Genomic DNA, 17870 nt, shown 5'->3' with positions numbered 1-17870 from the left:
ATCATCCTCAGCAAAGTAACAAGGAACAGAAAACCGAACACTTCATGTTCTCACTCATAGGTGGGAGTTGAACAACGAGAACACATGGACACAGAGAGGGGAACATCACACACTGGGGCTTGTCATGGAGTTGGGGGCAAGGTACGAAGAGCACCCGGACAAATAGCTAATGCATCAGTTCAGTAAATGTGCTGGCTGAATGTGAGGGTAATATGGGAGGGATGATGCTTGAATGATCAGGTAAAAATATTCAGTCAAATCAATAGAGATATTGTAAAATGAAGGATAATCTAACTTGTAAGGGATATTCAAACCAAAATCTTTCAGCCAAGCATCTCACCATTTTCCCCCCAGTTCAACTATGGAAGAAAACCTTGCCTAGTATTTGCAATATTATATGCAGTAATAATAATAGCACATGTCTCTCAAGATGACCTAAAGTTCTCAATATCATAGTGAAATAAGATAAAGTCATAATTTCAAGGTGCTTTCTTCTTTATTTCTATTTAGTATTGAAGCATCTCATGGTTAAAGAGAGTAGATTATTCTTATCTCTCTTTTGCAGTTCAAAAGTGAAACATTTACAAAATGCCTATCATTTGTAAGCCAAAGCAATAAAAGACATATTTTCAAAGAAAATAAGTTCCAAAGGACAAAGGCTTCTACATATACTAGCACTGTACAAACCTTGATTCAAAATGTCCTGACTCTGTACGTAGTATTTCTTTTAGTACCAACAAATTTTACTGTTGATTACTAGAACACATTTTTTCAATAATTTTTTTCATAGCATTTTTTTACCTCTTGATTCCTCAAGCTATAGATCAATGGGTTTAGCATGGGAATCACCACTGCATAGAATACTGAGGCAAATTTGTCTTTATCTAGTGAGTGGCTTGACTTAGGCTGTAGGTACATAAAACTGAGGGTCCCATAATATATGGAAATAGAAAACATGTGAGAAGCACAGGTAGAAAAGGCTTTCTGTCTTCCTACGGCAGAGTGGATCCTTAGATAGCAAAGACGATGAATACATAGGAGATGAGAACAATGATAAGAGAACAAAAAACATTGAACGCAGCAATGATGAACAACATCAATTCCTTGACTTGTGTATCAGAACAAGCCAGAGCAATCAGAGGAACATCATCACAGTAGAACTGGTTGACCACATTAGAGTCACAAAACGACATGTGGAATGTGGCCACTGCTTGTATGAGTCCCATGGTGAAACCATAAATATATAAGCCAGTGACCATTTGAATGCAGAGTCTCCTAGGCATGAGAACTACATAGAGTAAAGGGTTGCAGATGGCAACATACCGATCATATGCCATGAGAGCAACAATAATTCCCAGACTGAAAGTGTAATGAAGCAGCACACTTGAGTGGCACATGCATAAAATGACATGCTTTTAATTTCATGCAAAGAGTTGACAAGGGTGTTTGGAGTGATAGCAGAGGTACCGTAAAAATCCACAAAAGCCAGATGGCTGAGGAAAAAATACATAGGTGTGTGAAGCTGAGGACTGATATGGATTAGCACAATCAAACCAAGATTACCCAACACAGTAACTAAGTAAATCAGTAGGAATACACCAAAGAGAATGACTTGAAGTTCCTGATTATCTGTGAGCCCTAGGAGGATGAACTCAGTCACTGATGAATGATTGCCTTTTGCCATGTAATAGATACAGGATTCTTCTAAAATGAACTCCAGAGCATACCTTCTGAATAATCTTGACTCTATAAGAAATGACCAATTAAATGTGAGAAGATAGCCATGACTTACCAGTGTATTATATTAAGTTTAATTAAATTAAAGTTCTGATAAGTACTCTGAATTATACATAAATTTTCCTTATGCTTTCCAGGTAAAATAATTTGGTTCAGGCAGAAATTCCAAGATAGAAAATTCAGTGAAGAGTTGTAAAAGAAAAAAGTATTTTAAGTAAAATACTGTAGTCAATACAACAGCAAAATCTATGTTGTACTTTTCTGGAAAAACCAAAAAATAAAAACACATTGCAATGCTAAGAATGTGAGTAACATTGACAATATATGTAAATTTATTTCTTAAATTGTAAGTTTGTTTTATGAAATTATACACAGATATATTAGTTCACAAGGATATCACAAATTAACAAAATTAAATGAGGAAAATATAACATAAAAGTTCAAAATCAAAATATTAACACTATCATCTTGGGCATCCAAGTTGGAGTGATTTCAAAATTTTCTTCCTTTTGCTTATCTCTTTTTTTTCCTTTATAGACATTTCATTTTGATATTAAAGAATAGCAGGATTTTGAATACCCTGGCTTTGTCTTTTTGGAAGAGTACACACCAGTGAACAATTTTACAGAGTATGAAAAAACTTTAGCTGACGGAAAACCTTATTTAACTTCTATGTTTAGATATCTAAGTGGTCCAATGTGTATAGCATTTGGGCAGTGTTTTGAAGAACTAAATTCTACAGACCATTTTCTCAAACCCAAACTGGGCTCTGAATGCTTGAAAGCTGATGGAGTTAAATTGATCCCTGCATTTCTTAAGCAGAGCAGGGGATAAGTAAACTTGATTCTTTTTTATAATTATATTGTCTCTTGTTGCTTTACATGTACCTTGCAGATCTTCGAGGAAGGTAAAAAAATAAATAAAATATAAAAAACACCCATTCCCATAACCTTTGTCATCTCCTTAGAAATTTTATCTTGGTTAGTCTCTTCTCTTTTCTGTCACTTGCACTTCTCAGCCAAACATCTTAGAGTAGGCCTCTACTTTTTCAATCACATTCATAATTTAATCAAGTGTAATTTGCCTTCCTTTCCCATTAAACCAAAAAATCTCCTCACCAACTTCACTATTGACTTCACGATCTCCAAATCCAATCCAGCCTATTTTTCTTTGGCAGGGTATTAGCACTGGACTCTGTTAATATACCTTAAGTTTCCCAAACAAAGCAGTCTCTAGGTTGATTGTTTACTTTGATTCTGTACGTTGGAAGCTCTGCTTCCATTATATATGCTTCAGGTGACATGTACTTCAGGTTCTAAGCCCCCAAGCTCTCTTCTTTACATCTTCTTGTTCAGTGATTTTATCCAATCCTATGTCTCCAGTAAGCATCTATATTCTGGCTACGCACACATATATATTTCTATTTCAGATTTATTTTCTCTATTGGTATCTCTGTGTGTTAAATCTAATATTCAAAACCTGGAATATATACTTTCTCTAAATGAATAGGGACATTATTCACCCAGTGTTTCAAACCAGGGACCAATTATCTTTTACTATGCATTCCTGTTCCTTATGCCAATATTTAATTTGTCCCCAATTACTAACAATTTTATATCTGACATACTTTTCAAATCTGTTAACTTACATTCCTCTCTTGATGCAACTTTTGTTTTCTTTATTGTAACTGGCAACTGACTCATATTCTTGCCCCCAGTCTTTCCTATTTCTCTCTCTTCCTTACATTGCAGCTTAAATAAACTTTTTACAGATACAAACTTTATTCCAATATTCTCCTGGTTAAATCTCGTAATGCCTTCTCCATTGCCCTTAAGATAAGGTCCTAGTTTTTTTTTTTGTTTGTTTGTTTTAAACATGGCTGACATAGCTCTTGAAAACCTAGGCCCTGCATCTCAGACCAGGCTCATCTTTTGCAGCATTCTCCATTTGGTCTTCATGTTCCAGATATGATCAACTATCGCAGTTATTCAAATGTAATCTACATATTTATATAGTTTCCTTCTGTGCCCAGAACACTTTTCCTCTGCTATTATTACCTATCCCTGATTTTTCTTCTGGTTAACTTTAAATTTTTCTGTTGAATAATTTCCTCCTGGAGGCTTTCCTGACCTTCCAGGCCAAAATTAGTGCTTCTTATATTCACTATTTTGGATCCACTGATTGCTTTACGATAGCACTTGCCACACTATATTGCAACCAACTGTTAACACATGTCTGTAACACACCCTAAACTTGAAAGTCTTCTTTTTAAGCAAGTTTTAATTCTTAAATTATTTTATGCCCATTTTAATTACTTACCTCTAGTAGTGTCTAATATAAACAGATCATCAATAATTTCCTGTTAAATGATTAACTGAATAGAAGTAAAAGCCATATAAGTTTGATGCCTTTCCCACAGTTTGAGTTTTTTGTTTTTTCTATGACCCAGTGTCTTTCTATATTCAAAATGCTGTCTTTCAGTTCAACAACAAACCTCCAAATAGCACATTGCACCTGAAAGCAATGTTTGTGAAGCCAGTAACATTTAAAATTATGTAGACGTGAGACAGCTTTGTAATTTTTTTTTTTTTTTTTGGTGGTTCCTCTGGAAACTTTCTGTTGTTACTTTTGTTAAACAAACATTGCAAAACAAAATAATGATTATTCAGTAACAGGCGATTATTTGATGTTTAGTGTTTGGGGACAAAGCTATTTCCCTTGAAATGGTAGATCACTCTTTCAACTATTAGTCAATAAATGAATAGGGAGTAGAGGAATATTTTAATGATCTCTTTTGGGAAAGCAATTTGATTAATGGCTATATCTACTTTGATTATTTGCTACATTTGCTTTAGTTTTGCTGTATTGGCTTTTAATGGCAATTAAGAATTTATTTAAAATAAATGTTGAGCTTGTGGGCCTCATATTTAGCAGCAGATTTTATAAAGTTTTAGATGAAAAATAACTTTTCCAGTTAATAACACTCAAATCTGCCTTCTGAGATTAATATCACAACTTGTTGTTATAATTGGCGTTGTAGTTCAACAGTAAGGATTAATTATTTTTTAAAAATTTGTTTTCCTCCCTAGGAGAGAAATGCATGCAAATCATAGGTTAATTGACACCTAGTTGTTCTCATTCCATGGAAAGAGATGAACTCCTTCATCCAGGAGAATGTTTAGCAGTAATATCTGAAGCTTTTTTTATAAATTTTCTGAGATGGCTCTTTAAAGTCTGTATTGAAAGATGCCTGACATTATATGCAACAGATAAGCTAGAAATACTTTCACATAATAATGAAGGCACAGGAAGAAAATTGAGGTATGTAGGAGTATGATGATTAATTTATTATGTAGAAATAAAAACTCTCCACCTGTCTATATTTTTAGGAAGTCACAGAAGACAGTTTCATTGCTTGGGCAATAAGGAATGCACTAGCGTAGAGGAAACTGGTATTTTTTTAGAGGCTCAATAGTGGCTGTGCTCTTCGGCTTGTATGAATGGAGTGGACCTACAGGTCTGTGCTCCCTAATAACAGTAGGGATGTTGTTATTCCAGAATGAGAGTAACAAGGTGGATGCAACACTGGTATTGGGTTACAATACTTGATTAGGCTGCAACTGAGGTACTTTAACCCGGTTTCTATGGTAATGGGTTATGGATTGTGATGTTCTTGGGTTTAGACGGATGGGCAGCTGATGTTGTTTAATAATTGTATATAATTCTATAATTGTACAGGACATATAAAGCATAGTATTTTAAAATATTCGTCCATTTGTGTATTTAGACAAAATATGGAGCTGGTGAGAAAAAAACTAATAACAGCTGTCACAATGAACAATGTTTTTCCTTAAGATTTTTTCAAAATTAAGTCCGATCATAGATTTTAAAAAAAATCTCTTTTATTGAAATGAGAACTGAATTTCCTTGAAGCAGGTTCCTTGAACCGTTCTAAAATACAGCGTGTTAATATAATAGCTCCTTTTCAGATACTTTCCAAAGGAATATACCCAGTGCTTTTTATATGAACATGTGAGAATATCAGAGACTTAATATGTCATAATTGGGAATGATGCTCTAGCTCACTTTTCAGGCACAGTAGATCAATTAGTTGTATTAACAGCCCCAGTTAAAGGCCTCTCTGTAATCATGCTCTTTTTCTATAAATGTATAGTACTTCTGTATTCTGCCTCTGGCCTCAGTCATGTAACTTGTTTTAGCTGATGCTTTGATAACAGACTTGACACAAATGTAGGCTTGAGAGAGGTGTAGTGTATTTCAACTTCCTGTCTTACTCTTCCTCCTTTGCCCTGACCACAGATTCATGCTAACCTGTTGGCAGATGAGAAGTCATGTGGCGCTAAACCAGTTTTCACAGGTGGGGACATCTTATACCAGCTTGTTTCCAGGCAACATATTAGCTGAGGATGAACTCATGAGTGGATGCAGACAAGATTAGCCAAGCATGGCCCAGAGCAGAAACTGTCCTATGACACATGGTAAATAATGCATTGCATTTGTTTAAGCCACTCTGTTTTGGATTTTTAAATTCATCATTTTTGTTTCAATAGAAAACATTTTATTACGTAATTCCAGTTGTGAATGGACACAGAGAAGATATGGAAACTCCTAAACAGTCACAAACTGCAGTGCAAACTTCCCTGCTACTTGGGATGGGAGCTTTCTCAGGGATTCTTATACATACAGTTTCCTGGGGGCATTTGCGTCACTGTTTAGGGCTAAGGTCTTCATTATCTGTTCTGCTCACCTTCAAGCTATAGCTTTCCTAGCCCTGTCCTCAATATTTCCCTAATCTTTATTTCCTGAGATATTCCAATATTCATATTAGCCCTTATTCTTATAACAAGCCCTTTCTCTATTTCTGTACAGAACCAACTGTGGCACAGGAGTGAAGGAGAAAACAGATATCTGAGGAAGCCAACACCAGGCCAAAAGACAGCCTATGCAAAGATGCTACGGAAAGCATGCAGCAGCTGTTGTAAGGGCAAGGAGGTCGGAACAGAGAAAGGCATAAAGGTTAAGGTGACAAGGTCGGAGATTTAGCATGAGGTCAGGTAATTCAGAGTTCTGTGGCTCCTTGCAAGTCCTTTGGCTTTTGCTTTGAATAAAATGGGTTTCCAGAATAAAAGTTTGTTTTCTTTTTTTTTTCACTTTTGACTTAATTTTATTTTTAATTACTTAAACTTGTAATGTTTTTCAAATCAAAACAACATAGTAATATTTATTTTTTAAGGGTTGACTTCTGTCCCTATCTGCACTTGTTCCACTCTTTTTCATTTTAACTTATCCTCCCATTATTTTTGTCTTTTTTTTTTTTTTCTTGAGAGAGGGTCTTGCTCTGTCTTCCTCAGGCTGGAGTGCGGTGGCAAGATCTTAGATCACTGCAGCCTCCGTCTTCTGGGTTCAAATGATTCCCCTGTCTCAGATTCCCAAGTAGCTGAGATTACAGGTGTGCACCACCACACCCAGCTAATTTTGTATTTTTAGTAGAGACGGGGTTTCACCATGCTGGCCAGGCTGATCTCGAACTCCTGAACTCAAGTGACCTACCCGCCTCTGTGTCCCAAAGTGCTGGGATTACAGGCATGAGCCTGCAATTTTTAATCAAATATAAGAAGCTACACATGTGCATTCTATATTCTTCCTTTTTTCTTGCACAGTGTAATGTGTAGTATTAATTCTTTTCTGCATTTTTGTCTTGTCAATATTATATTCTGATAATTACTCTGTATCATACCTAGAAATCTTTCCTCATACATGGAAGGGCTGTCTCTATTCATGGATATTCGGGTGCAAGTCTCTATTCATGGATATTCGGGTGCAAATCTGTTGCTAATTTAAATAATATCCCAGTAAATTACCTTGTGCACATGTATTAGCTTGTATTAGTATTTGTGTCAGTATTCCTTTGAATACTTGAATTCCTTTCTTAGAAGTATGATTGTTGGGTACCTGCAACTTTGCTAGATATTGCCAAATAATTCTTCACAGAAGTTTGTTGTTTGTTTGTTTGTTTGTTTGTTTGTTTTTTGAGACAGAGTCTCACTCTTTCGCCCAGGCTGGAGTGAAGTGGTGCGATCTCGGCTCACTGCAATCCCCATCTCCCGGGTTCACGCCATTCTCCTGCCTCAGCCTCCCAAGTAGCTGGGACTGCAGGTGCCTGCCACCATCAGCAGCAGATGAGAGTTCTTATTTACTTTCAGTCTAGTCAAATTTTTGCATTTTGAAATCCTCATAAATGAAAAATAGTATCTCTTGGTATTTTATTTTTAAGTTGAAAGGACTCTTAGCTCGATGCTATCCCTCCTTTCTTGTATCTATAAAGTTGATTTTTTGACATCAGGATTTCTACAACAAAAGTATAACGCTTTTTTGGCAGAATGAAAATTCTAATGATTTTTGGTTAGATCAGTCAGTGAGGGGAAAACTCAAGGAAATCATTACATTAACTTTCACTTTAAAGATAAGGAAACTCTCTCTGGTAAGGCTCAGAGGATTTAGATCACGTAAGTAGGTTTTGGGAGCAAACAGGGATTTCTTCAGAATATTGGCAGGGAAAATTCTGGAAGTTCTATGCTTTCAAAAATGTTAACAAAATGAGTGTTAAACAAATTGAAAGAGATTTTGTCAGTTCATTCTTGATTATTAATTAATTAATTAATTAATTAGAGACAGAGTCTTGCTCTGTCGCCCAGGCTGGAGTTCAGTGGCCCGATCTCGGCTCACTGCAAGCTCCGCCTCCCGGGTTCAGGTCATTCTCCTGCCTCAGCCTCCCCAGCAGCTGAGACTACAGGCGCCCGCCACCATGCCCGGTTAATTTTTTTGTATTTTTAGTAGAGAAAGGGTTTCACCGTGTTAGCCAGGATGGTCTCCATCTCCTGACCTCGTGATCCGCCTGCCTCGGCCTCCCAAAGAGCTGGGATTACAGGCGTGAGCCACCATGACCGGCCAAGTTCCTTTTTTTAATACCAATGGGAATTATATCTTCAAGCAAAGGGCTATCATTTAAAATTACCTTTTTTGTGGATTATTACTATGGGCTTAATATTCCATATAACACTTTTGAGGACATTTGCTCTGGTACTATGCAACACTGGTGACAGTGACAGAGTAGAATCTGGCTGCATTTGAAATGGAGGTGGCTAGAAATTTGATAGTGGTGGTTGTGATTCAGGCATTCTCTGTTAAGGCCGGGGTTCACTCCAGACAGAGTGAAAATGACTGAACTGATACAGAGGTGTATTTTTCTATGACATTCCTGTAAACTGTCCCACTTCCAAATGTGTAAACATTGAATTGAATATGAAAGAGCCAGATCCAGTCTCCTGACTCAATGAAGAGTTGAATCCTTACATACACATTGATATCTCTCAGAAACTTGAGTGTAATTTAATGGCTGGTCATAAAGTAATTAACAAAATTCTAGATATTTTAAGAACTTTGACAAAATTGTGACAACGTTTTCTTAAAAGTATTGAGTATTGTTTTAACTTATTATTGGTGAAAAATAAAAACTTAGTTAATCAGCACTTATAAAACAAAGTCGATTTTGTTACACTAAACTTTATTGAAGATGAATAGATGGTATTATTTAACAATTTTCTTAAAAACAGATACTTATAATTATTTCTTATAAATAAAATCTTTTTTTAAGTTACAATGAATTTGGAATTGGGCCAACAAAATACTATATTAAAAGATATTGTTCAATTAAAACATTAAATTAAAATTAAATGAAGACTTATTTTTAGTTTTTAATTTTTTAAATTATAATAGCTTTAGGAGTAAAAGCGGATTTGGTTTCATCGATGAACTGTATAGTGATGATGCCTGAAATTTTAGGTCACTCATGTAGTGTATGTTGTATTCAATATGTAGTTTTTTGTGGCTCAACCCACCCACCCACCCCTTTTCTGAGTCTCTAATGTCCATTTTATACTACTCTGTATGTCTTTGTATAGCCACAGCTTAGTTTCCACTTATAAGTGAAAATATGCAGTATTTGGTTTTCATTTTGGAGTTAGTTTACTTAGAATAATGATCTCAAGTTCCACGCAAGTTGCTGCAAAATACATTATTTTGTTATTTTTCGTGGCTGAGTAGTGTTCCGTGGTGTTTGTACACCACATTTTCTTTATCCACTCATGGTTGATGGGCACCTAGATTAGTTCCATATCTTTGCAATTGTAAATTGTGCTGCAATAAACATATACAAGCAGGTAGCCTTTTGATATAAGGACTTTTCCTTTGGGTAGATACCCGGTAGTGAGATTGCTGGATCAAATGGTAGATCTGCTTTTAGTTCTTTGAGTAATCTCCATACTGTTTCTCATAGAGGTTGTGCTAATTTACTTTCCCATCAGCAGTGTATATGCATTCCCTTTTCACCACATCAATGCCATCATCTATTATTTTTTTAATAGATGTCCATTTTAATAATGGCCATTCTGGTTGGGGTAAGGTGGTATCTCATTGTGGTTTTAATTTGCATTTCCCTGATGATTAGTGATGTTGAGCATTTTTAAAATATATTTGTTGACCATTTGTTTATCTTCTTTAGAAAAATGTCTATTTATGTAATTTATCCACTTTTATTTATTTGTTTTTTCTTTTTGATTTGTTTGAGTTCCTTTCAGATTCTGGGTATTAGTCCTTTGATGGATGCATAGTTTGCAAATATTTTCTTCCATTCTATGGGTTGTTTGTTTACTCTAATGGTTATTTCTGTTGCTATGCAGAAGCTTTTTAGTTTAATTAGGTCCAATTTCTTTTTGTTTTGTTTGCATTTGCTTTAGGTGTCTTAGACATAAATTCTTTGCTAAGTCCAATGTCCTGGAGAGTTTCTCCCAGGGTTTCTTATAAAATTTTTAAAGCTTCATGTTTTACATTTAGCTCTTTAATCCATCTTGAGTTGATTTTTGTATACGATGAGAAATAGGGATCCAGCTTCATTCTTCTACAATTTTCCCAGCACCATTTATTAAACAGGGTATATTTTTTTATTTGAGCTTTTATTTTGGCATAATTTTAGAATTACAGAAAAGATGCTAACATTTTACGAAGAATTATTTTGCACCATTCACCCAGCTTCTCCAGATGTTAACATTTTACCACATTTTTTCTGAGCTTTGATAATAAGTTGAAGACATGATGCCTCTTTACCTTTATATACTTGTTATATTTACTAAAAGCAAGAACATTCTCTTAAATGACCATGCTACTATTATAAAAATCAGCAAATTAGCAATTATAAATATACCTCATCGATAGAATTGTTTTTGACACTAAGGTACTTTTTGTTTCATTTGTTAGAATTCAAGTTGCTCTTTTAGTATTTTTTAATTAGGCTTTGCACCAGTCTTTTTAAATTAGGTGTTAATGCCAGTGTCCCTGTCATGTCATCAGAACCAATAACTCTTTTGGGGTTCAACTAATAGGTCATGTGTGTGTGGGTGTGTATGTGTATTTTATAGACAATGTTAATGACTCAAAGCTGCTTTAGTGATATAAAGTGGACATAATTTTTACCAATTCAAGGTTTATATATTAAAAGTGTTGAAGTCAAAGTCTTCACTGGAAAAAAAGATTGATTTTTAAATGTTCCATGAAACAAAATTTAGCCTACTATTTGCAACTGAATAAATGTCATTTTCACTTCTCACAATATCAACACAGATTACTTTCATGATTTAAAATAACATTTCTCCACTTTGAATTGTGAAGAAGTAATCCGGAATGGGAGATAATATTTGCAATCTACAGATTTGACAAGGGATCAATAAACAGAATATATAACAAGCACGAACAACTCAGTAGGAAAAAATAAAATCCACAAAAATTCAATTGAAACATTGGCAAAAAACCTGACTAGACATATCTCAAAAGAAGACCTAAAAATGACTAATAGGTATATGAAAAATGGTTTAATATCACTAGTAATCAAAGAAATGCAAATCAAAACCACAGTGAGATGTCACCTAATCCCAGTTAAAAATAGCTTTTATCCAAACGACAGGCAATAATGGATGCTGGCAAGGATATGATGAAAGGAGAACCCTCAAACACCATTGGTGTGAATGTAAATTAAATTAGTGCAGTCACTGTAAAGAACAATCTTGAGGTTCCTCAAAAAACTAAAAGTAGAACTACTATATAATCCAGCAATCTCACTGCTGGATATATAGCCAAAAGAAAGGAAATTAGTATATTGAAGAGATGTTTACACTTCCATGTTATTGCAGCACTATTCACAACAGCCATGATATGGAATCAACCTAAGTTTCCATCAGTGGATGAATGCATAGAGAAAATGTGGTACATATACACAACGGATTATTATTGATCCATAAAATTAATGAAATCTTGTCATTTGCAACAACATGAAAGATATTATAAGTGACATAAGTCAGACACAGAAAGACGAATATCACGTGTTCTTACATATATATGTGTGTGTATATATATATGTGTGTGTGTATATATATATATATGTGTGTGTGTGTATATATATATATAAAACTCCTGGAGATAGTAGAATGGTGGTTGCCAGAGCAGAGACTGGGAAGTGTATTGGGGAGGAGAGTTGATAATGAGGAAATAGTTAATGAGTACAAAAATACAGTTAGATAGAAAGAATAAGATGTAGTGTTTGGTAGCACAGTAGGGCAACTATAGCTTCCAATAATTTATTGTGTATTTCAAAATAACAAAGAGAATGGAATTAGAATGTTTCTAGCACAAAGAAATGATAAATACTCAAAGTTATGGATATCCCATTTACCCCGATGTGATCATTACACAGTGTATGCTTGTATTAAATATTAGATGTACCCCATAAATGTGTACAACTATTGTGTATTCACAACAATTAAATATATACATTTAACAATTCAAATAATGAAATATGAAAATTAATGCATGTTCTGTATCGATATCAACTTTGATATTATAACATTAAAAAGCAGGTTACTAATGGTGTGCTAGTGCAAAAATACTTAAAGTCTGGCTTTATTTTGCCTCCCAATTCAAAGGGCTTTATGATTAGACCCAAGGTCATTTATCTTGTAGTAAGACATAGATTTTCCATAATCATCTTCAAAGCATCTTTGACTTCGTGGTTCCTCAGGCTATATATTGAAGGAATTTTCACAATACAGAAAACAGAAGCTATTTTGTCTGTATCCAGAGAATTATTTGTTTTTCACTGCATATACATGAAGGTAATTATACCATAAAATATGATGATAGAAGTCAGGTGGGAGTCACAAGTAGAAAATGCCTTTTGTCTACTTTCAGCTGAATTAATTCTCAGAATGGCAGACAGTACTGATATGTAGGAGATGAGGATGATAAGAAGGGAGAAAAGTGTATTGAAACCAGCAAGTGTGAACAATATCAGTTCTTTTACATCTTTGTAATGGTTTTTATGATAGGGTAGACATGCTAGGGGAACATCATCACAATAGGAATTATTTATTATATTTGAATCTCAGAAAGACAAGTGGAATGTAAGAATTGCCTGTAGGAGTCTCACAGAAAAGCCATACAAATATGTACTTACCACCATTTGAATACAGACCCTTCTGTTCATGATGATACTATAGAGTAAAGGGTTGCAGATGGCCACATACCTGTCATATGCCATGGCTGAGAGCACATACATGTCACAAACCACAAACATGATAAAGCAATGCAACTGAGAGGCACAAGTAGGTAAGGATATTCTTTTAGTTTCTTGGAGGAGGTTCACTAGGCTGTTAGGGGTGATAGAGGAGGTGTAGCAAAAATAAACAAAAGCTACGTGGCTGAGAAAAAAATACATAGCTGTGTGAAGCTGAGGACTGATATGAATTAGCATAATTAACCCAAGGCTACCCATGACACTACTTAAATTGATCACTAGAAAGATCCCCCTAAAAAAGGGCTTGGAGCTCTGGATTGTCTGTGAGTCCCAAGAGGATGAATTCAGTAACTTCTGAATTATTGGTTTTGGCCATGAAATATGTGTAGAAGTATTTCATACCATTATCTTCAAAACATTCATCCTGGATAATCTTCCATTTCTTGGATTAAAGACTTGACTCACACTTATTTGATGGTGATCATACTGGAAAGATAACTCTCTCTTGTCCTATACATCATTCTCCCTGCTTATTATCAGAAGGGATTTGCTCCAGTCAGATATTCCAACATGCTTAGTAGTCTGGAAGATTGTTAAAGAAGATAGAATATCTTGAATTAAAATGTGGAATGTTATATATACAATAAAAACCCTGTATCATAGGAAAAGCAGGATAAATACTTCAATGATAAAAGAAATGCTAACATATTTTAGAATACTACATTAAGGCAAAATACTCGATATTTCTACTCAACTTAGAATCAAGACAACCATGGCTTTGACTAAACATTATGCAGTATCCTAGCCCATGCAACAAAAACAGTGGTAAAAATATCATTATTTTTAAAGTATGTATTATACTATATTGGTATATATTCTAAAGTATATATTACAGCTTATTGGTACTTGAACCAATAAGCTCAGTGGAAAAATATTATTAGATTTGTTATGATTGTTGTGAAGCATTCAGTTACCAAGCTACATAATGAAAATGATACCATAATAAAAATGTAGCTTCAAGTAAAAGTGAAAATATAGTTTTCAAGATTCCATTTAAAATAATGAGGAAAAAGTAAAACCCAAATTTTAATTTACTATTAAACTTGGCAAAATATTGGCTTTATATATTCATACATATATAAGTTAAGCATATATAACAATATGCTTCAGAAGTTAAGCATATTGTTTATGCTTAACTTAAATAAATTTATAGATTCACATTATTTTGTAGTGGGGTGGCATTTGGGGAAGAAAAAAATTATTTACAGGTTAATTCAAATTCATAATGCATGAAAGATAAACTGAAATTGATTTATTAAACTTTCAAGATAAACAAGATATTTCTTAAAGTAATTAAAGGTTACTTATTCTTACAAAAAGTAAAATATAAACTGTAGGATGCAAAGCAGGGTGGAGATCAATGGCATTCCAGTGGATGTTTATCAACTGGCTTTCAAATTTAAAAGAAAAAGGAAGATTTAATTTGTAACATCTGTTGATTTTGTGATTTCCATGCTGTAAATACTCCCATCTTAGCTGATTTTAAGCTACTGACCTACAGTCATGAACATGAGTTCAAAAGAGATTTGCAGATATAGTTCTTGGACGCTAGTATGGGCTGCCTCCAGCACAGCACTGGTGGTAGTTATATAAACATAGGTTAATATTATAAATAAAATAATACAAAAATTAGTAAATGACAAATATTTTATGATTACGCAATATGCTAAAAGCAGAACACAAAATCAATGATGAATCTCTAGCTGCTTTCCATGTAATATATTTGTTAATTACAAAGGGAAATAATCAATTTTATTAAATATCAAAGGACTAGATAACATAAGATTGATCAAATTAAAAGGATGAAAATATCCATGTTGGTAAAGGTGTGGGAAATGGATATATCCTCATGAACATCCTGTAAAGATGTAATTTATCCTCAATTTTCTAGAAGGTAGCTTAACAGTAAGCATCAAAATTGTTTAAAATATTTCTGCCACTTGATGCAATGATTTCAATGCTAAGTCCATAAGAAAATAATAAAAATATGCAAGTACATATATTGTTTAATTTCAGTTACCGTAAAATGGAATTTGTCTAAATACGTTCTAACAGATATTTAGTAACTGTAAATTCTTCATAAAATACTAAATGACCCTTTAAAAGTTGATATAGGTTTTCATTTATTGACATGAAAAGAAGGATTACATATATAAATATATACAGGTGATATTGCATGTATGTATACATATATATGTGCACAGAAATACTCAAATAAAATATGACAAAATGTTAACAGTAGTTATACCTATGTGGTGATATTGAGATTGATCTTTCCTTTTTCTTTCCATTTCTTTCTTCCTTCCTGCCTTCCCATTCAATTTTAATGGTTCTTTACATTTTATGCTATCCTCTGTTTTCATAAACTTGACTTTAATTTTATATGCATATTTCCATGTTTCAATATCTTAGATGCTTATGCACTTTGACAACTTAATTTTTCACATTGGTGTTTCTATAATTTGTGCTTATCTGGTGCCCGTAGGGATGCATGAATTTATTTGCTACTAAAGATTGTTTGCCCGATCAAAAATAAAAGTTAAAGAAAAGATTGTTTGCCAATTATTTGCCATTAAATACAGACTCATACTTTCACATTTTTTGGAAATATTTTGTTGTGATATGTTCCACAGGTGGACTAATTTGTTAACGAGTTTGAAGCACTTGTCAAATGAAACATGACTGTCCTCAAAACGGACAAAACCAACTTAACAAAATCATCCGCAAAATTTAAGCGGAAATCATGACAAATCTTTTTCTCCTATATTAACAGTTATATAACAAATCCTCAGTTTTAACCTGAAAATTTTAAGCTTTAATTGTGATTGGATAATTTTCCAAATGTTTAGCTTTTTCAAGTTAGGTATGAAATTGTAAAAATTACAATTAAAAAATTTTTCACTCAAACAAAAGTTTTTAATCATAATCTTTTTTGATTTTGGGACAATTAATTTAACAGCTGATATATTTTTATCTTCATACTGCTTCATTTTATGAATTTAATAGTTGATATTTTCTTCACCTCATTTTACTTTTTATATTTCATACTTTCTTATAAGATCAGGAAACTAGAGTATACATAAATAGAATAAACTGTTGAGGACTTCCAACTCAGCAAATGTTAGATTTAGAGCTCACATTCAGGCTTTTATTCCCCAAAATATCTACGCCCTTTAGTAGAATGGCTGATGCACAGACAATGTACCAGCCTGCTAAGATAAGAGGTTATGCTTTTTTTTTTGAGACAGAGTCTCGCTCTGTCACCAGGCTGAAGTGCAGTGGAGCGATCTCTGCTCACTGCAACCTCCGCCTCCTGGGTTCAAGTGATTCTCCTGCCCCAGCCTCCTGAGTAGCTGGGACCACAAGCATGCACTACGACGCCCCACTAATTTGTAATATTTTTAGTAGAGATGGGGTTTCACCGTGTTGGCCAGAATGGTCTTGATCTCTTGACCTTGTGATCTGCCTGCCTCGGCCTCCCAAAGTTCTGGGATTACAGGCGTGAGCCACCACGCCCAGCCAAGAGGTTATGCATTTAAGAACATTAATTATAACCTTTCAATATATAGATGACAGACTTAACATCTTCTGCCAGAGCTTAATCCTATGTGAGACAATAGGAAGGCACTGAAATGTTCAAGTAGTAGATACATGTGTTTAAAGAAAAAAGGAGGAAATAAACTTTTGAGAACTGTGGGTCATGCTACTCCTATGTCTCTACAACCTCACAAATATATAAGAAAATTATTGAAAATGGACACTAACCTAAAGCAGGTTATTTAAGAATTATTTCTATTTTAATATAATCTCTCAGTGGGCATTAATAGTATATTTCTAATCTTTTGCCATTAAGTATGGAAACAGGCTACAGATGAAAAAAAGTGAAGCAAAAATATTAAATGATAGGCATGATTCATAAAATCAAATCTTTCTTAGGCTAAATGATGAAAACACATGAGCACATAGAGGGGAACAACACACACTGGGACCTTTCAGAGGCTGGAGGCTGGGAGGAGGGAGCCAATCAGGAAAAATAACTAATGGGTTCCAGGCTGAATACCTGGGTGATGAAAAGATCTGTACAACAAACCCCCTGACACAACTTTACATATGTAACAAACCTGCACTTGTATCCCTGAACTTAAAATAAAAGTTAAAAAGATACTTTAAAATGATTACTCTCTCTCTCTCTCTCTCTTTCTCTCTCTCTCTATTATCAATTTATCAGCTGTGGTGTACAATAATCTTCATTTATAAATTGCTCCCTCACGTTTATGTGACTTATAATTAGTAGACTAGCACTCAAGTCTGCAGGTTCATAGAAGGAAGGGAAATGATACTCAAGTGCCTACCATGAATTATTACCCCTTTCCATATTGCTTAGTCCTATAAAAGTCTCTAAACTGAGTAACATTATTCTCATTTATCTGAT

The 17870-nt window shown here is 34.2% G+C and overlaps 2 pseudogenes; both read right to left on the bottom strand.

Moving 5' to 3' along the window:
* On the bottom strand, window positions 764–1683 carry OR5AL2P (olfactory receptor family 5 subfamily AL member 2 pseudogene; annotated as a pseudogene).
* Window positions 12823–13777, bottom strand: OR8L1P (olfactory receptor family 8 subfamily L member 1 pseudogene; annotated as a pseudogene).

Source organism: Homo sapiens, chromosome 11 (assembly GCF_000001405.40).
Source record: "Homo sapiens chromosome 11, GRCh38.p14 Primary Assembly".
Taxonomy (NCBI): domain Eukaryota; kingdom Metazoa; phylum Chordata; class Mammalia; order Primates; family Hominidae; genus Homo; species Homo sapiens.
The sequence above is the reverse complement of the archived record's forward strand: the minus strand, read 5'-3'. Positions and strand labels throughout refer to the sequence as shown.